A 20872-nucleotide genomic window follows, 5' to 3' on the forward strand; every position below is an offset into this window, starting at 1 on the left:
TTCCCCCTGCCTCAGTCTCCCGAGTAGCTGGGATTACAGGTGCCTACCACCATGCCCGACTAATTTTTGTATTTTTAGTAGAGACACAGTTTCACCATGTTGGCCAGGCTGGTCTCGAACTCCTGACCTCAGGTGATCTGCCGGCCTCGGCCTCCCAAAGTGCTGGGATTACAGGCATGAGCCACCGCACCTGGCCTGTTCTTAACCATTTTTATGTTTTGCGTTCCTTTGAAAAGCTAATCAAAGCAATAGACCTTTTCACCATGAAAAGGATGTACACGCACATGCACACAGTTTGCACACTTTCAAGGAGTTCACAGAATCTGTGAATCTACCTATAGAATCCCAAGGGGTCCAGGGATCCAAGTGAAAACCCCTGTCTGGGGCCTCAGAGATCTCCGTGTCAGCTGGTAAATGGGGAAGAAAGTGCAGAAAAGGCACAGTGACTTTTTGAGAGCCCTGGGCTCTGCATGGAACACATCGCCTCTACTCACATTTCACTAGCTACATGACCCAGCCTAGGTGCAAGAGGAGACGGGAAGTATAGTCTGTGACAGGACAGTTCAACACTGTGGAAGACCCTCGGTTTTGCTGGCAGTTCGCCCCAGCTCTGCCGCCCATGGCACGTCCGTGGAGATATGCCAACAGGAGACTGCTTCTCACAAGGATGTTTTTTGAGTTTAATGCTCTCGTGGGTCATTTGCTGCCTCCCATCCAGCCGTGCTCACACTGTTCCTTTTTCTTGGAGCCCTACTTAAGGGCCACCCCCTCCAGGACAGTTCCTCTGAACTTCTCATTTAAGCAATCTCACCCTTTGAGCTAACCTTTTGCGCTAACAGCTGTGGCAGCACATGCTCTCTTAGCCTCTGAAGAGGTCTCTGGGCACCCTTCATTTAGTCTTGTACTGAGGCAGCTCTCGTTGGTTGAAACGGGTCTAATGTTTTTGTCCTGCTAGACTATGTCTCACATACTCTGAGCATGTTTGATTTATCTCCCAGCCCTCTCCCACCGGCACACAGCCCTCCAAGATCTGTGCAGAACAGACAGTGCATGGCCATTCACACATGGGGCTCTCAGAGCAACAGGCCAGGGCAGGGATGCCACCCTTCCTGGATTGAAGAGGAAATGGAAACTCTAAGAGTTGATGAAAGTGACCCAGCCTTGCAATCTCTGACAAGGCTTGACCTTAGTTCTGGGTCTTCCAACTCTAAAGCTAGTGCCCTTTCCACCCAAGCAAGAGCTGCATACACCTTCAACAGCAGAGAGACGGGGCATGCCACTTGGCACCACAAGCAGCCTTCTGTGCCGGAGCTGAGACTCCGAGGTCTGTGGGCAATTGTAGACCCTTTGCTACCTGGCGATGCCTGGTGCACTGGAGGAGCTCTGCAAATGTGTGATGGGTGGGTTTATGCATGGAGAAAAGAGGGGAGACTGTTCCCCCACTCCCTAGTACTCAGGATTTTTACTCTTCCCTCGAGAATCAACCGTTCCCTAATATAGGAGGGGAGATGTAGGCATGAGGAAGAGACAGCCACAGTGAAAGTCAACACAGGGAAGTCTGCCTCCTTGGACCCACGCACTTCTCACTGCTGGATGCAATCGAGGCTGAACTGAAAAGGAGCCCTGGCCGTAAACGAGTTCACGTTCCAGGAGAGCGGTCAGCCCCAGAGAGCCAGAGCGTGGGCAAGTGTTGGTGTCCATCTCAGCCCTGGGCACTGGGCTTCCACGTTCTGAATTCATTAAACTGAGACACCAGAGCACCTGGCTTTCCCTTAATTAATTAAAATATCATGGAATAATCATTGTCTGATGTAATGTTCAAGAAGCCCTCGTAAAGGCTGGGAAGGAGGAAATTCATTAGCGGAGACTTTTACTGTCGCTGGATCTGCCGTTCTTATTCATTTCTCCTGCACCATCCGTCCCTGGAGGAGAGGGCAGGACAGTGTTTTTAAAGATGTTGGAATTAATTTCACCATAAAACCTGAAAGAAAAAAAAATCCACCTTAACTAAAAACTAGCCTTATTTGTGTTTAAGGGGGAAAGCAGATACATTTGGGATTGAACATGGGCTGTGGAATTGTCTTCCTCAAGCCCAGCTGACAACAGAGACAGAGATTCAGTCTGTCCACTGCTTACGGCAACAAGTTCAACCTCCTCTGTCTGCATTGAGGGGTGTTGCCCCAAACTACTACCCGCCCACCACCATAGCTCTGAGCAGCAGCAACTGGCCATTCCTCCCTGTTCACAAACTACACTGCATTTTTCTACCCCGACTCCTTTTTGCATGCTGTTTCCTTAGCCTGGAATCCCCCACACCCACTCCTGCCAGTTCAAATGCCTGCCTCCTCTTCTGGGAAGTCTTCCTTGATCTCCCTCTGCTCTAACCACAAAGCAGACACCATATGCTGCCAGGGATGGTGACCTCATCCCACCCATGTCTCCACTGGAGTCTGAGTTCAGGACCTGATTCTACCTACTTTCATATGGGAGGAATCCAGATGATTCCAAACATATGACTTTCGGCATCTTGTACCTGTCTGGCACCTGGAGAATGCTACTGTGTGTGTGGGAGGGGACAGAGCACTATCTCAGCAAGTGAATTAAGTACTAGAATGCGTACACGGCAGGACACACATAGTCAAGGGCAGTAGTGTAAGATGATTAGGGCTGGTTAAAAATTTCGGGCAAGGTGAACGGTGGGGCTGCGATCGCAACCAGGCGTGGGAGGTAAGGAGGATCTAGACTAAGTAGCTGAAGTGGGCATGCAGAAGGAAGGACAGGAGGCATGAGGGATGATAAAGGAATACCAGTGGGACCTGCACCCACCTATACAGCATTCCTACAACAAAGACACCACAAAGACTGTCCTTAAAAACATTTATTTTTTTCAGGGTGCAGGGGTCGTGACATCATGACATCTACAAAAACGGTAGAAAAACCCAGGTTTGGTGCGGGGAGTGGGGGCATTGTAATTACGTCTCCAAATGCTAACAGCTGTGGCAGCGCATGCTCTCTTAGCCTCTGAAGAGGTCTCTGGGCGCTCACACTTGAAAAACCATGAGGTTGGAACAATCATGTTAATGCGCCTTTTTGGTTTTGGTGAAAATTTCAGACAGTGTGACATTAATTATTTGTCTTTGCACAGAATGATGATGCTAAAGCCAGCCCCATACAGTCCTGATGCTCAGTACTTCCAGCATGGGCTCTGTCCACCCTGCTCTCTGGGTCTACATCCAGCCCTTCAGTTTTCACTAGGCAAATCTGAGGTGAGTCAACTGAGTTTGCAAAATGTGCTTATTAGCAGGTGTGGGATGTTCTACTACCTTCTTCAGAGCCACAGCATTCCTGTTCCTTCCCACATCATTTCACTAAGGGTCTGACCAACTCATCTCCCAACCATTCAAGACACAGGAGAATTAACTGCAGGCCTTCACACATGGAAGTCAGTCACAGTGCGTGGAGAAGGGAGGGGCGGGAGGGGCTGAGTGAGGAGTGGATGTGAGCAGGTCCCCTGGCAGCTCCAAACCCCAGTAGACAAGAACAGCTTCCAGTGCCATCCATTTCAATTCTCATCTTTTGTTTTCAAAGAGAGCTTCCAGTGTTTTAAAGTTTGAAAACCACTCATCTAGTTTTATTCCCTTTTTACTCAAATAAGGACACTGAGGCACAGAAAGTGAAGGAGACTTGCTCAGGGTCACACAGCGAGCCGGGGATTAATATGCAAATGGATCTCATGTTTCCAGAATCCCAGGCCAGTCTCCTTCTGCTGCATAGTACAGAAGGTGATGCCATCCCAATATATTAGACATGGAATGGCAGGCTTACAGGCGGAAAGTTCACTTCCAACAAGGACTCCAAAATGTAATGCACAATGTGAGCGGTGTGAAAGTGTGCCTTAAAAGTTGGGATGAGTCTTGATAAGAGTCCCTGAAGCCTGTGGATTGGCAACATCTGCCTTTACATAGTTTTGAGATGACCCTGAGTAGCAGCACCGTGGAGTAGAGAGGGGACCAAGGAGGGCCAGGTGCCCTGAGCTCTGCTCCTCTTTCAGAGGCCTTCAGGCCTTGGGCAAGTAGCTTCTCCTCTCAGAGCCTGGTTTCTTCATCTGCTAAAGGCAGGGACATTAACACCTGTCCTGCCCCATCTCCCAGAGTTGGGATCAAGCTTTATGAACTTAAAGGACTGTGCATAGTAAGGGCTCTCAATTCTTATTTTAAAATTGTAATCACCTAAGGATCTATTTTTTTAAGATAAGATAGCAAATATTCTCCTTTCTTTTTTCATTAAAAAAGAAAAAAAAGAGAGCCTTACTCTTGGGTGAGGTCAAAATGTTTGTAGGTAAAATATATTCTACTACAATCTAATTCCACAGTCTGGAGATAACACCTGACCCCTTTTTTTACAATTTGATCGTCAGAAGCCTGGTATCCACCGCTTCTAACCACCTGTTTAGAGAATGCTAGGCTAGGCCAAGCACAGTGGCTGATGCCTATAATCCCAGCACTTTGGGAGGCCAAGGCAGGAGGATCATTTGAGCATAGGAATTTGAGACCAGCCTGGGCGGCAACATAGGGAGACCCTGTCTCTACAAAAAAAAAAAAAAAAAAAAAAAAAATAGCTGGGTGTGGTGGGGCATGCCTGTGGTCCCAGCTACTCAGGAGGCTGAGGTGGAACGATCACTCGAGCCCAGAAAGTGGAGGTTGCAGTGAGCCATGATCACGCCACTGCACTCCAGCCTGGGTGATAGAGCGAGACCCTGTCTCAAAATAAAATTTTAAAAAAGAGAATGCTAGGCTAACAAATGGATGCTCTGGTCTCCAAAGACCCAGCCAAGGCGCTCCTGAGTCTGGTAAAGCATCCCACCTAAAACTAAATCTCCTTCAAAGGGAAAAAGTTAGGAATAGAAGAGCTACAGCCAGCTGTCCACACGTTGGGGTAAAGCAATGGAATTTGTTTCTGAGGGAATACCATTTTAGAAAGAACACTAAGACCACACTTCCTGTTATTTTCCCAAAAGGCCATCTTAATCTAGGATGGCAGGGCTAAAAGGGACATTGATAACATCCAGTTAAAATGCCATACTCACAGATGAAGGGACCAGGGCCCAGAGAGGGGAAGGGATCTGTTCAGGTCACACAGCAAGTTACAGTCAGGCAGAGGACAGCTGGGACCCTCATCCCTCCTTCTACAACACACACTAAGTCACAGAGCACCACTAATAGGTCATAGACAAATGAGGTAAAGAGTCACAGCTGACACGAGCCCTTTCGAAATTGCAAACATGCCGTTCTGTGATCTCCCTGGAAGAGAATAATTACAAAAAGACTTCTCATGGAACAATTCATTTCAAAAGTATAAAAAAGCCACATGCAAATCCGTTTCTCACTGTTTGCCCTGCTAAAAACTACATCTGCATACAGATCTAGTTTGCATCTAATTTTTAAAAACACACAAAAGGGGTCATCTACACACACAGGTTTTCCAACTCTTCATGAAGCACAAAGATCCGTTATTTGACTTTTCCATCATCCCATGATCAATGTTTCTAAGACCCTAGGAAGAAAAGGAGAGAAAGAATTAGAGAACGTAAGCCTGCTCCGTTACAATCAACTATGTGTTACATGGAAGGTGGGGGAAATGATCCTTCACTTCGAATCTCTCCCCAGCAGGAAATGGTGCCAGTGGAGAGTGAAGGGCCCTGTGGAGTCCCAAGAAGTACTTTTAAGACCAAAAGGTGGACGTTTCAAAGCAGCAGACTCCAGCTTAATAAGATCTTTTCAACCATTGGAAAATCCACAGATGGCTCTCAGTGGTAGTGAGCTCTGTATCCCTGGAGGTATGTAAGCCAGAGCTGGCAATACTGTGTGTCACAGAAGGAACTCAAGACCTAGGCAGCAGTGATGCTCTTAAAATTCCACAATTTTTCATGGTATCCTTTTGATGTATTCACAACCCAGAATCATTTCTGCCTCAAAATATACGTGTATTTGAAAATTATAGATATATATATTTAAAACTGGAAACATATCTATATAAAACAAGTCACATATCATCAGGAAGACAATTTTAAGACCCAATCTCCTAACTCTTTGTTGAATTCCTATTTCACAGTTTTACATTTTCATATTTTTCTCCCCATTTCTAGGGCCTCTAACTACTCACGTACACCCATCCTTCAATCCTCATGCCACCTCCTCGATGATTCTTCCTTCATTTTCCCCAGTTCTAAGCTGCTTTTCATGCCTTAATATCTCCTCCCATTCCCTTACATCGCACTCCTTGTATTATAATTATGTCCACTTTTTGTTTTTCTGTGATCCCCTACAGACCAGAAGTAAGGCCTTGCACACAGAAGGTGTGCAACAGTAGTGGCTGAAAGAATAATATAACTAAAACCATGGCAAAATCCCCCTGCTTTTGAGAAACCCTATCAGACTTGTTTCTAATTTTTCCTGTTCTATTAAGCACCTGTTGATCAGCCTTGGTAATGGTGCCTGTTCACCACTGCTCCCCCATTCCTGTAAGAGGATCGTGCAGGCCAGGCACGGTGGCTCACGCCTGTAATCCCAGTACTTTGGGATGCCAAGGCGGGCGGATCATGAAGTCGGGAGATCAAGACCATCCTGGCTAACACGGTGAAACCCCGTCTCTACTAAAAATACAAAAAAATTAGCCAGGTGTGGTGGCGGGTGCCTGTAGTCCCAGCTACTCGGGAGGCTGAGGCAGGAGAGTGGCGTGAACCCAGGAGGCAGAGCTTGCAGTGAGCCGAGATCGCACCACTGCACTCCAGCCTGGGTGACAGAGTGAGACTCTGTCTCAAAAAAAAAAAAAAAAAATGATTGGTCTGTAAATGGGCGGGGCACACATCACATCCGAGCAGAAACTTTAAATGCAATGGTGTGTGCAGCCTGGCCACAGAACGGACATGTTCCACACTGGAGCTGTTCCTCCAGCTGGGTCCTGAATGAGGGGACACATGGGGCAGGGCCACAGCCAGCTCACAGCTATAACATGGAACATGAGCAAGTGATCAACGTCTGTGGCTGTGAACCAGCAAGATTTTGGGATTTTTATGAGCAAAAGCTGGCTTATAAAGTGATCCCTTTCCCGAATTCCCAGTTCACCTGTAGGCAAGGAACAGATGCAACCCCAGCTGTCACCTGTGTGACTACAGACTAGGAGGCCTTGACCAGAGGGGATGCAGAGATTCTCTCTGCCCCTACCCACAAGGAGATGTGTTGCAAAGCAGCACACAGTGCTGAGGACAGGAAGGCAAGGCCTGAGCCCCAGGAAGGAAGCTCAGGTGTCCTGAACAAGGAAGAGCTCCAGGAACACACAAAGGAAGCTCAGGCATCTTCTTTGTGGGAACATTTTCACATGGACGCTGTCACAATGACACTGTCTGCTACCTCTCTCAGTGCTCTTTCTAGAAGAATACAGAGGAAATATTCCCTCCAGCCCCAAAACACAACTGGTCTTTTCATCTCATGGACACACATCATGTTCACAGCTCTTGTCTTTGCATGCTAAGAAGCTCAGAGGGAGATGTGTGCAGAATATACCAGGGATTCTACTGCTCATCTAAGTATGTCCCTACTCTTCTTTTGCTCTTTCCCTGGTTTCCTCCATTTACGTATTTTTCTTCTTTTTTTTACAGGTCTTATAAGCCACCTCAAATATCTCATAACATGGGTGTAAAATACTGAAAATGACTTAGAACATGTACATTTCTCCATCACATGCGGTCATCGGGAGCTGGGAAGTGGAAGCTCCTGTATTTACTCAGATCTAGAACCGTCACTGTGCTGTGGGACTCAGCCTCTCCCACCATGTTGGCTGCATGGCACTGGTACACACCCTCATCCTCCTTTCGCAGGGGGTTGATCTAGAAATACAACAGGCAAGTTTATACAGTTATATAAGGAACAGCAAAATGACTTCCTTAGTTAGTTCTTAATGATAAGTCTGCACACTTCCTCCTTTTCAGAATAAGGTAAAACTTGCTCTATTTCTCTCCTTGCATTGGCTGCCAAGGAGCACGCAGGTAAATTTCCTTCCCAGGGACCCTCTTGAAAGGCACGCTCCCTATTGTGGCTCTCATCTGAATGATTCCTCCGCACACCTGCCTTTTACTGTGAGCTACCTGGTCTTTTGTATTAAAGGTGCAAGGTATAGGTTATTTGGAAAACACCTCAAGTTAAAAGAAGAACAAAAATCTACTGACCAAAGAATGATCCAGAAAGTATTCCCTATAGGGGCAGCCTCTACAAAATACCACCAGAGATAACCTCTTTTCCCTGTCTTTTCTCCTAAGAAAATAGAGGAATGTGCTTGATTTGAAAAAACCGCACAGCCAATTGCATTCCCAATCTCTCAGCTGGGTGGAGAAGAGTCACCAAGCCTCCCAGAGCTGTGGGTGGAATGAGGAGGTTGTCCTTAGGGAGCACCCCAAGGATGTTCACAGCCAGGTCCATAACCAGCTCGCGTCTTTTTTGCTTTCTCGTTACAACCAACCGCTTCCATCAATTACAAATCATCCTACCGACCACGCGCTGGTGTACGCACATCAGCTCGTTTTAAACTCATGCCAGTCGTGGGGGAAGGGTGAGCATTATGGTCTTCTTTTTACAGGAGACTCACAGGTAAATCACAGACTGCCAGGGCCACAAAGGCCCTCAGAGGTCTTTCAGTTTGAAGCCCTCTTTCAACAACAGTGGAAATGGAGGCTCAGAAGGGTACAGTGACGACCCAACATGGACCCCTATCTCCTCATTCCATCACTCTTTCAAACATGTGGCATTCTTCATCTTGGTAAAAGTGCTGCGAGTGGCAGGAAAGAGCTCTGGAGGAGGACTCGAATGTGCCACCTTCTACCTTTACCAGCGGGTGACCTTAGGCAGGTGTACTAGTTCCTTGGGCTGCTGTAACAAATCGCCACAAGCTGAGTGCCTTAAAACAAACACATTTCTTTTCTACAGTTTTGGAGGTCAGAGGCCCAAAGGGGGCTAAGATCAAGGTGCCGGCAGGGCTGCATTCTTTCTGAAGGCTCTCAGGAGACTCATTTTCTTGCCTTCTCCAGTTCCTAGTGGATGCTGGCACTCCTTGGCTGTGGCCCTTTCCAACATCATCAAAGCCAGAAATGGTGGGTCAAGTCCTCCTCACATCGAATCACTTCAGTCTGCCTCTGACTCTTCTGTTTCCCTCTTCCACACTTAAAGACCCACCTTTAAATTGGCCCACCCGGATAATCCAGGCTAATCTCCTTATCTTAAATCTCCTTATCTCAGCTGTTTAGCAACCACAACCTCCCTCCCACCACCTTGCCATGTAACATCGTACGGTTCTGGGGGTGAGGACGTGGTGGACATCACTGTGGGGCCATCACTCTGCCCCTGGCAGCAGAACACGTATGTTCCCAGCAGATCTGAAACCTGCCCTGCCTGCCTCACAGTTACTGGAGGGGCCAGTGAGAAATGGGTAAGAACAGCTTTGAAACATGTAATGTGTTGTAGAAATATAAAGGATGGTTTATAATGGTCAGTCAATAATATCCAATAATCCTAAACACTCACCAAAATCCAGGCCGTGGCCTCATGGTCAGAAGGGCCCCCTCGCACTTGGACAGCTATATTGACATGGTCCCCAGGCAGCTCCTCCAGTGCTTGGGTGCCCTCAGGGGACTTCGTGACCTACAGGGGACAGGAATGCCAGGAGGGGGCTTAGAAAAAGCAATTCTGGATAAAGACCATCCCATAGGCTTCCTTGCCCTCCTCCTTCCTCCTCCTCCCACTGACTCAAAAACGGAAACCCTAGCACTGCTCATGCCTATGCAAATGACATCAGTCATTTTTTAAACCTACTTGTACATATAGACAGCACGCTCTGCCAGACAGCAAAGACCCGAACATCACCACCATCCCACAGAAAGATTCAGAATTTCAACGCCTGTCTCAGGGCTATTGACATTAAGGGGACAACATTCGCTGTGATCCTTGCCGGTCTCTCAAAAACTGGTCTTTAGAAGATTTGGTTTTGGAATAGGACTGAGTCTTCTGCCACCAGCCAGGTCTGTCTGAAACACAGCCCCGAAGTGAAGCAGGATACACACACACATGGCCACCGCAGCTGAAGCAGACTGGGTAAAAGCACAGCTTTCTGGGTCCCTAAGTGGCCAAGGGTGTAAGTGGCACAGGAAGGGTTGCAATGTTCCCTTCCAAGGGGAGAGGTTTGGGGTAGAAGTTTCGAGGCAGAGGAGTGGTACAGATGATATCTTTTCTTCATCCTCTGGCCCACCTATAAAGGCATATATATATAAACACACTTAAAAGAAAAACATTTTTACCACTCACGTCTGTTTCTCCCTCTTTCTCACACACACACACACACACACACACACACACGAGATGCATGAGTTCTTGGACAGAAATACCTTTCTCCACGTGATGACTGGGGTAGGCACAGCCCTCACTTCACAGGACAGGCCCACCTGCGCCCCGGTGACGTTGTGAACACTTCGGGGAGGAACGACGACCACAGGAGCTAGGAGGAGGAGACAAGGAGACGCAGCCTTTACCCTGCAGGGTTCCAAGCAACCCACCTCTAAATTCCCCTGCCGCGGAGAGCCCGCTGTGATGTCCTGACATGAGGGGAGCGGCACATCACGCTTGGGCAGGAATCCTAAAAGAGAGATTTCCTCAGACCTGGAAAGCTGCCGACCGATCTCCTGATCCAATGATTGTTTTACCAATGGGAAAGCAGGGGTCCAGAGGGGAAGGGCAACTTCCCAAATTCCCCCAGCACCATCTGTGGCAGAGCTTGGGCCTCAGTGCTCCCTCCCAGGGTCCGTTCCAGGCTCCGGCTGCCATCTGCTATAGCTCAACCAGGAAAAACGGCAGCCGACTCCTAGAGGGGCTGGTGTCACGCCACCAACGGCAGAGTCTTCTAACAGATGGGCTTTTCTCCTTCCACGTGGAGGGTGTTAGGAAGAAGAATGCCAGGAAGAACAGCTGCACACACCCTGGAGCTCAATCCCCTGCGGTCCATTCAAGATGCCCATTTGCATGCACAGGGTAAAGACTCCCCAGGGCTCCCCCACTCCCTCTGCCTCCCCATCCCCAGAAGCCGACCCAAGCCTGGGCAAATCAGGGAATCAGGGAAATGTGGTTCTAGACTGCCAGAACATGACGGAGAGGAGAGGGAGGGTATGGGCTCCCTGGACAGGACCCAGTGTTAGATGTTTCAAACTCCTACTCCACACTCTGCCTTCCTCCCCATGCCTGGCATCTGCTCTGCTCACACTGGGCTGGAATAATCAAGGCCAGGCGTTTCTACCTGCTCTCACCTGCATTGGACAGCAACTCAGCCACCCTGGCATCCAGCACCACAGCGTGTTGGGCAACGTGCAGTGTAGAGGCCTGGCCAGGGAATGCTCCCACCCAGCTGTCATCTATAAGGTGGGGATCACACCCCTGCTTCCTAGGGCGGTCAGGCTGATCTAACCATGGAATGAGTGAAAAGTGTAAGTTAATGTGATATGCAAGTGAGGGCCAGGAGCAAAAGGATGACTGGATGAACAAACACATGAGAAATCAAGGAACAAACATGTTCATTTCCAGGCCATCAAACTGCAGAGTCTAGAACTCCTAGGGCTTTGCCTGGTGACTCAAGGACAGCCCTGTTGTTCTCCACAAGACTGCACCTGGATAAGGCTGCAATACAAAAGGAGAGCAAAGGGAGGAGACAGAAGGCAGGAGGAAGGAGGTGACGGACAGCGTCGCATCACACCCCAATGCTCAGGAGGATCAGGGTGCAGAAAGGAGACTAGTTTGGCCCCTCCAGACAGACTGGGAAGCAGACCCTGTCAAGCCAGTGCCAAAAAATCTCTGGAAAATCGCCTTAGAGCCACAGTCTCAAACTAGAGAGGCTCTTTAGCATCCTGATTCTCTGTGATTCTGTGCCTGACCACGTATGACATGCTCGCACAGCCTCCATTTGCATGCCTTCAGGGATGGAGAACTCACCACCTACGGAGCCAGGCCATTCTGTCTTTGGAGGGCTCCACTGGTAAGAAGGTGCATCCTCACCTAGAGCTAAAGCCTGTAACTCCCACCTGTTGATCCTGGGGCTGCCCTCTGGAGCCCCATAGCCCCTGGGTGTCCCAGCAGCCCACCAGTGAGTTGAATACAGACTGCCCTCCCCATCCCAGGCTGCTTTCCTCCCCCTCTATCTGATCCACCCACTCATTCAGCTGTACCCATCTGAGGGCCCTCTGAAGGGTGGTGCCCAACCCATGTGCCTGAATGTAGCCAAAGCCCCGGGAACCAAGATCCTAGATGTCTAACGTTGCCTGACAGCCACAGAGAGCCACAACACTGAGCTCTCCGGCAGGAGCCCCATCTGTGATGACAAAGACAGTCTAATTTATTCACATTGTCCCGCCAGCGCCTCCCCAACCACACAAGCGCTGGGATGCCGCCTCCAGGGAAGCCCAAACCAGTGCTCCAGTGGCTCGCTGTGGTGACAGTCAGAAAGACCTGGATACCAAGGGGACTCTCAATCAGCCTGGTTTACTTTTGTTCATGTAAAGTCATACATTTTAAATGTGATTTCATCAATCCCTTTCAGGCCTAAATGAGTAAACCAATAAATCACAATTCATCTCTCTCTCCTCATGTTTCAGTCTGTCTCTCTAACAACTACAATTAAGAAAGACTGTCTTGGAAATACTGACTTTGTAACTGATTTTGTGGCAAAAAATACAAATTCCTTTACAAAAGAAGCCCTGCTTTTTAAAGGGACGTCAAAGCACATTAAAGGGACATTTAAATTTGTATTTATTTATTTATTTATTTTTAAATTTACACAAAGCACAATTCGTTCCTTCTGGTGTGCAGTTCTAGGTTTTGACAAATGGATACAGTCATGTAATTACCACTATAGCCAAGATACAGAACAGTTGTTCTGTGACCTCAAAAAATGTCATGTTGCTCATGCCATAATAATCCGGTTCTAATTTTTTTTTTTTTTTTTGAGGCAGAGTCTCATGTTATCCTCAGACTGGAATGAAGTGGCACAATCATAGCTCACTGTAGTCTTGAACTCCAGGGCTCAAGCAATCCTCCTGCCTCAGCCTCTTGAGTAGCTGGGACTACAGGCATGCACTACCACGCCCAGATAATTAAAAAAAATTTTTTTTTTTGTAGAGATGGGTCTTGCTATGTTGCTCAGGCTGGTCTTAAACTCCTGGCCTCTAACAATCCTCCCATCTTGGCCTTCCAAAGCTCTGGGAATACAGGCATGAGTCACTGTATTCCCAGCCCTGTTTTTAATTTTAACATATTTTAACATATCTGATTTTAAATTTAAAATATTTTTATCCACAGTAGCTCTTTATAATCAATAATAATAACACTGTTATTATGCTATCAGCTAGCACAGCGCTCGCTGTGTGCTAAGCACTCCTCTGCCTACAGGTATTAACTTGTTTATCTCTCCAGCAATCTCACCAGCTGCCAGATGGTGGCGCTGCCCTGGGTTACCGAGCATTAAAGGGTGTAGTGAGGAGGCTGTGAGCCCAGTGATGTGGCTCCAGATCCCAAGCTCTTCTGAACCACTGTGCTAACACCATCCTGCCTTTTCCCTAGAGGACCCTTCCACGTACACCACCCTTTCATCCTCATGGCAGCCCTGTGAGGTAGCTGCTTCCATCCCCATTTCACAGATGAGAAAACCAAGACTCAGAAAGGTAAAGTGCCCAGAGGAACAGGGACTCAAACCCAGGCACCATGATTCCATTCACTCCCACACTGGTTTCTAAAGTGGAACATTTGTTATCTGTGTGGTCTCCGATCCAGAATAAGAGATGAGTTGCTTAGGGATTGTGTTGGGGGATCCCCAAGACAACTCTCTGGTTCAATGATTTCCTAGGAGGACTAGGAGGACTCACAGGACTCAGCATTTAGTGGTACTCAGGCTGTGATTTAGTACAGTGAAAGGATTTTCCCATCTGGCAAAATCAGCCAAGGGAAAAAGTCAGGGTTGGGGAAGCAGGCCCAAGATGCCAAGAGCCCTCCCCATGGAGTCACAAGCATGTGAAATGCTGTCTACCAGAGAAGCTCAAGAGGGACTTGGCGCCCAGGGTTTTTACTGGGAGCTGGCCACAGAGGCACTCTCTGCCTAACTGAATACCCAAATTCCACACTCCGAGAAGGAAAGCAGGGGTTCAGCATAAACCACATTGTTTGTACAGTTCAGGCACAGTGAGCCACTCTCATCAATTCTGAGAAGAGTGGAACCCCCCTGAAATCTAAGTCCCCAGATACCAGCCCAAGGCCAACCTTGCCAGCAGGCCTTTCTGAGGATATGGTCGCAGGCCTGCCGTGTTAGCTGTTTTCTATACAACAATGAAACACCCCAAACATCACCCCCAGGGAACAGCTCTTATGAAGATAACCCATAACATGAGCAATGTGTCCTTGACACCAGCAGGACATTTCTAGTCCCTACTATCCCCAAGGGCTCATTCCAGCATGGCACTGGAGTGCTCAACGTCATGGCTGCCACCACAGGCAGGAAGGACAGCGTGGCAGGCAGGGGTGGAAGAGTCCAGGTTCAAATCCTTTCTCTGCCACGTCCCAGTCTTGGCCTCAGTGTCTTCTTCTTTAAAATGGGCACAGGAATCTATTCCCTTCCCAGCCCACTCCTCAAAGGCTGTTGTGAGGAACAATTGCAAGACCCCTTACAAACTGTAAAAGACCTCTGCAGAGGGACTTGAGGACTCAGGCAGGGTGTGCTGTCCTTAGGCATCTCCTCTAAAGCTCCCTGCATGCATGAGAGCCTCCTCTGGCCTTGGGTGAGAGGCACCAGGGACCATGACTACAGCCCTCACTCTGGGGAGCCAAGCACATACTCTTACTGTTGCCAGAGCCGCCACACTGCCAGAGGAACCAGGGCTTTCCTTTCTGCCTGCCTTTCACAAGAATGATGTGGCTTGCAGGAGGGAGGATGGCTTCTAGCTAGCCCAGTCTGTGAATGTGGAAGCTTCATCCCCCTATAGCTCTTCCTTGCTGATACTTGTTTCCTTCTGCTTGTGCCAGCAATAGCCCTAGAATTGCACAAATCCAACCATCCAAGGGCTAACCAGCAGGTAAGACAGTCACCCAGATGCACATGGTCACAGGAGGCAGTACTGTGGGGTGAGCAAAAACAGTACCAGAGGGAGACTCAAATGCCCAGGGGTCTCGCTGCCAACCACTTGAGCTTGGGCAAGTTGCTAATCATTTCCTTTTTATCTGCAAATGAAGATGATGACCGCAGCCTCGCATCCTTGGGGTGAAGGGAGAAAATGGATGTGACTGTGTTATTAACTGTGTGGATCTGTACAAATGAAAGGGATCAATATTATTATTATAGTGTGTGGTGATTTGTCCCCCTACCTCGTCAATTATATCGATCATTGATGGCTGGAATGAAAAAATCTTCCCAAATCCCTCTGAGATTTCTTTAAAGTTAATGGTGCTAGGGAAAGAAAGGATATCAAGTCATTCCCCAGGACCCCATCTGCTTGTATTAAAAAGCACATAACCAAAGATTTTAATAATCAACACACTGAACAGCCCTGATAATTTATGCTAATAGTCACGTTATGATGTGGAACAAGAAACAGCTTAATCCTGCTCCCTGCAGCCTCTGCCTCAGATCTCCTCCCTCAGCATGAAAGGGTTTTGAGCACAAACCCCCTTCTTTGTCCCTCTCACGAAGTGGCATGCGCTGCCTCTCCTGGTTACCTGGTAACACACACTAGCACAGACCTAGGTTTCTAAGTGGAGCTGGAATTTCAACCAAGGTGAATTTTCTAAGATTCAGGGTCTCAGGAGCTCACCGAAGCTGCCAGGGCTCAATGCCCTGGCGGGTGCTGGCCGGGACCCTGTTCCTATCTAATTTATCATTTGAAACATGACATTAACTTGCTGTCCGTAGGACCCCAACCCTCTCCCAATGCTAACAAATAGGGTGCACACACTGAACTATCCAGCCTTTAAAGTAATGAGAGCAATAATAATCATCATAATACTAAGGCCATACCACCTTACCAGTGAGAAGCTGAACCAATAATTCAGAATGTATCGAAGACCCACGTATGAATAATTCTTACTGTTGGAAATTGCTTTTGCATCCTTCTTCTTCCTTCTCCTCCTCCCCCTCCTCCTCCTCCTCCTCCTCCTCCTCCTTCTTCTTCTTCTTTTTAGACAGGGTCTCACTCTGTCTCCTAGGCGGAGTACAGTGGCATGATCATAGCTCACTGTAGCCTCGAACTCCTGGGCTCAAGAAATCCTCCTGCCTCAGCCTCCCAAGTAGCTGGGACTACAGGCACATGCCATCATGTCCAGCTAGTTTTTAGAATTTTTTGTAGAGATGGGATCTTGCTGCGTTGCCCAGGCTATCCTTGAACTCCTGGCCTCAAGCAATCCTTCCACCTCAGCCTCCCAAAGTGCAGAATGAAGCTTCCCCCTTCGGCCTTGCACCCAAGGCTTGCAGTGGCCTACCCCAAACTACTCTGGGGTGTCATCTCCTTTCCCAACCATCCTACCAGGCCTCGGCCCTATGGGCCCACTTGCACACCCACCAAAGGGCTCCCACCTCTGAGCCTCAGTTCATGCTGTGCCTCCCCCTTGCTAGCATTGGGATTCTCTCCCCATCCTTCAAGGCTTCTCTCAGGAGCTATAGCCCAGTGCTAAATAGAGGGACAAGTGACAAACCTTGGGAAAAACAGGAAGGTGGACCCAGATTGAGAAACCCCCAAGATTCAAGGCTGGCGGGTGCACAGCACCTTACTGATCAGGTTGCTAGCGGCTAGCTGTGCAGCGCCCATCTGAAAATAGCGAGGCAGGCCAGGCATGGTGGCGCACGCCTGTAATCCCAGCACTTTGGGAGGCCGAGGCGGGCAGATCATGAGGTAGGAGATCAAGACCATCCTGACTAACACAGTGAAACCCCGTCTCTACTAAAAGTACAAAAAACAAAATTAGCCAGGCGTGGTGGTGGGCGCCTGTAGTCCCAGCTACTCTGGAGGCTGAGGCAGGAGAATGGCGTGAACCCAGGAGGTGGAGCTTGCAGTGAGCCAAGATCACACCACTGCACTCCAGCCTGGGTGACAGAGTGAGACTCTGTCTCAAAACAAAACAAAACAAAACAGCCAGGCAAACCTACACTGGAGCCCTTTCACAGCTGGGACCAGCCAGGTGGCTCCAGGGAATTTCCTTCCATGTGCCTCAGCTTTCCCTTCTATCAAATGGGAAGGAGACCTCCCCAGGACACTTGTAAAAATCATGTAAAAAGATGGGTGCAGCCCAGGGATGGTATCTCATGTCTGTAATTTCAGCACTTTGGGAGGCTGAGGTGGGAGGAGTGCTTGAGGCCAGGAGTTCAAGAACAGCCTGGGAAACACAGTAAGATCCTGTCTCTACAAAAAATTCTAAAAATCAGCTGGGCATGATGGTATGTGCCTATAGTCCCAGCTACTTGGGAGGCTGAGGCAGGAGGATTCCTTGAGCCCAGGATCACAGTGGGCTGTGATCAAGCCATTGTATTCCACCTGGGAGATACAGTGAGACCCTGTCTCAAAAAAAAAAAAAAAAAAAAAGGATGCAAAAGCAATTTCCAACAGTAAGAATTATTCATATGTGAGTCTTCCATACATGTGTGCGGATCAAAGGATCACTCTCATTATGTGGCAGTTTGGGGCATTTCAGGGCATAGGAGGAAAGGGCAGAATTTAAGCCTGAAAACTGCTTCCCCAGGCTCCTCAGAGGCATGTATAAGGGCCCTTCACACACTGTGAACAACATAATAAATACTTCCCGAGGCCTCATTCCATGAAATCTAGGTGCTTGGGTACCCAAGGAGTCAGGAGGGGTGATTTTATCATGAATATTGAAGCAGAACAGCCCTGCTCTGACTCACAGTCTGTTTTCCTTCAACCGGGATCCCCAGAGGCATTGTTAAAAAACGCTCCCGCTGTGTCTTGTGAATAAAAGATGGCTTTAGGGCAGCACAGAATGAGCTGCTGCCTGGGCTAGGAAACATCCCCTGTCCAAACCTTCATGCTTTATCTGGACACAAGGGCAGAGGCCACACTAGCACTTCAGGACAGAGAGTGACAGGCAAACAGTGCCCGGTTCTGTGGTGGATGACACAAAGGCTGGTGCGGAAGAAGGGCTGAACCCCGGGGAGGCCTGACGCCTGTCAGTAATGAGATCATGAAAACCAGTTCTGAGTTGCTTCCATGTGGCCCCACGAATATCTTTATTCCCTGGGTCTGTGCCTGGGGTGGGCCTCAGATCCCATAGATCAGAGTGAAGGGGCTGTCACATTTACTTGTCATTTGGTAATTTTCAGTGAATTAGGGGTATGGAGTTTCCATCTGCCATCTGGCCTCACTCTGGTAACCATGGTAACCACCATCTGCCTGACTTAATACTATTAAGTCCTGTGCCAAAAGAGCACTGGACAGGGTGTTGGGACCAGGGAGCTGGTCATCCTTTACTGGTCACCCTGGACAAGGGCTCTGACCTTGCTGTGTCTCAGTCTCTTTCTCTGTATAACAGCAGATTTGGTCTGAATGTCTTTAAGGTGCCTTTCTCTTAGGAAGAGAATGCCACTCTGGGGAGAAATTATCTGAGATCATCAGCAGCATTTATAGTCTGAGGACCTGGTCAGCATTTCTTCTGTCTCCTGCATGTGGAGTTAAAAGTGTTACCTGTCTGGAGACAAAGAGAATTGCCTGTGAATTAACGGCTGAGGAAAGCAGTTATAAAAACGAGTGATAGGAACTAGCAAAAGGAAAGAGACAGGACTGTTTAAGTGCCACAGGGCGGAAACCAACTGTTCCGAGTGAAAGGGACCTCAACAATGACTCCACTGGGGCTGATATGGCCAGAGAGGGGAAGGGACCCGTCCAGGGCCACTCAGGGAGCCAGCGGCAGCACAGATGCACCCCCAGCCAGCTCTGTCCTCCATGGGGAGCTTCAGCTAGGAACAGCCAATGGTGACTTTCCTGTGCTCAACTGGCCACACACTGGTTTTACATTTCCCAGGACTGGAGGCTTCCTGCCCCATCTCCAACAACCCATTGCGTCTCCTGGACTTGGGTACATCTACCTGAACTACTTGAGAGGAAAGACTACTAGATACTTCTTAAGGCTTGGAAAGGTCTCACCCCACCCCAGGCTTCTTTCTTGAAGCTAAGTCATTACACTGACTTAGGCACTAAAGTCTGGACTTGGTCTCTGGGCTCAGGCCAGAATTATTTCCCAGAAGCCTGAACTCCAGGCCGAAACCCAGGCTCCTTGGGACTCACTGGCCACCTTCTCACTCACCCTAAACTCAGCACTGCCCACTCCAGGCAAAGTACACAGCGGCACTTCAAAACCTAGTGGGTGGAATACACTCATGCTTAGGAAGCCGGTAAAGCAGTGCTAACGTTTTGGTTTCTTTTTGTTTGGTTTTCAAAAGGTACATAAAGAGGGTGGGCAACTATAGCACTCAGAGATTATTTTACTGTGATGTTAATGAAGCTTAAGTTTCTAAGTCCCTAGCATTTCATAATAAGTTTCTAAGTCCCTAGCAGTTCTATTCCTTTACTTAAGGCAGGACTCTCCAAATTATATATGTTTTAGAAGCACGAAACCTGAGTCTGCCCCTAATAGCACCACAATCTTTTCAGACCTTACGTCTCCAAAGGTCTTACTTCTCCTGGATGGAGCTCCCTCAGCATCCCAGCTCAGCCCCTTCCCACACCGGGGGCCCTGGTGCTCTGGTGCTGTGGCCTGGTGACTACTGATTCCCCAGTCTGGAACTCATCCTCCTCCTGCATCCTCAACTTCCCTTCCTCCCCTATCCTCTACTTCCCTTCCTCCCCCAACCTCAACTTCCCTTCCTCCCCATTCAAACAATCCACCTAGCGCTGGATACCTGGGAACTCGGATCCCCCTCCTTAACTCCCAGTCTCCTGCTGGGCAAACATACCATGCCTACAAATAAGTGACTGCATCAGCAGGTACTTAAGTACCAAAAGGGGTAGCAGGCTCACCAAAAATTCGACTAGCACAGTGAGTGGCGTCTCCAAGGATTCTCGCCCCAGTCTCTCTGAGCACGAGGAGAGATATGAAATACTGCTCCCTAAGGGGAAACTGAGTGCCAGGCAGCGCCGTCCACCACTGGGCAGGGGGATCCTTCGCTCCACACCCCAGAGGGTTGGAATCCCTCCTTCTCTACCCACCCAATCCCCGACCCTGACTCACCGAACTCGCAAGGGCCGTCGCGCGCCTTGTGCAGGTGACCGGGGTGCGCGCGGGGCGTGTGCCGAGCGCGCAGGCGCAGCGCGCAGACGCTGGGGTACGAGCGACCGTCGGAGCCGCAGACGGTGCCGCGCTGCGCGCACACGCAGAGCCCGGTGCCCTCGGGCGCTGCCCCAGCGGCCTGGCTCGCGCATACCAGGCCGGGGCCACAGCGCCCGCCGGCGCGGCCCCCGCAGCTCGCGCCCTCGGCTCCCAGGCAGCGGGCGCAGCAGCCGCACTCGTCGAGCGCCGAGATCCCGGGCGCCGGGCAGGGCGCAGGCGCCGGGCAGCCCTCTGGCCGGCACGGACCACACTTGGGGCGCCGGCCGCCCACGTCGCGGATCCCAAGGCTCGGGGACAGCGGCGGCAGCAGCGGCAGCAGCAGCAGAAGCAGCAGCGGCAAGAGCAGAGACAAGCGCGGCATGGCTTGCTCCGGGACAGCGGCGGCGCCTCTGCTTCGCGCTCCGCTCCGCGCCCGCCGAGCAGTCACCGCTCCCGCCCCGCGGCCGCTGATTGGCCGGGCCTGCACCGCGGGG

At 49.5% G+C, this 20872-nt stretch overlaps 1 protein-coding gene across 2 annotated transcripts; it reads right to left on the reverse strand.

Annotated features, from left to right (window-relative positions):
- Positions 1-2863: 2863 nt before the first annotated feature.
- Positions 2864-20790, reverse strand: IGFBPL1 (insulin like growth factor binding protein like 1). Of its 2 annotated transcripts, NM_001007563.3 has the most exons (5): positions 20301-20790; positions 10430-10539; positions 9573-9689; positions 7727-7885; positions 2864-5553 (listed from the first exon to the last, which is right to left on the reverse strand). In NM_001007563.3, the coding sequence occupies exons 1-4, from the start codon at positions 20758-20760 to the stop codon at positions 7736-7738; spliced, it is 837 nt and encodes a 278-aa protein (NP_001007564.1). In that variant the 5' UTR covers positions 20761-20790; the 3' UTR covers positions 2864-5553; positions 7727-7735. The 2 variants fall into 2 exon arrangements, with proteins under 2 accessions (NP_001007564.1, XP_016870188.1); XM_017014699.2 differs by lacking the exons at positions 2864-5553; positions 7727-7885; positions 9573-9689 and adding an exon at positions 15435-15516 and having other exon boundaries at positions 10459-10539.
- Positions 20791-20872: the final 82 nt, after the last annotated feature.

The sequence above is a fragment of the Homo sapiens genome, chromosome 9, assembly GCF_000001405.40.
Source record: "Homo sapiens chromosome 9, GRCh38.p14 Primary Assembly".
NCBI classification, from domain to species: Eukaryota; Metazoa; Chordata; class Mammalia; order Primates; family Hominidae; genus Homo; species Homo sapiens.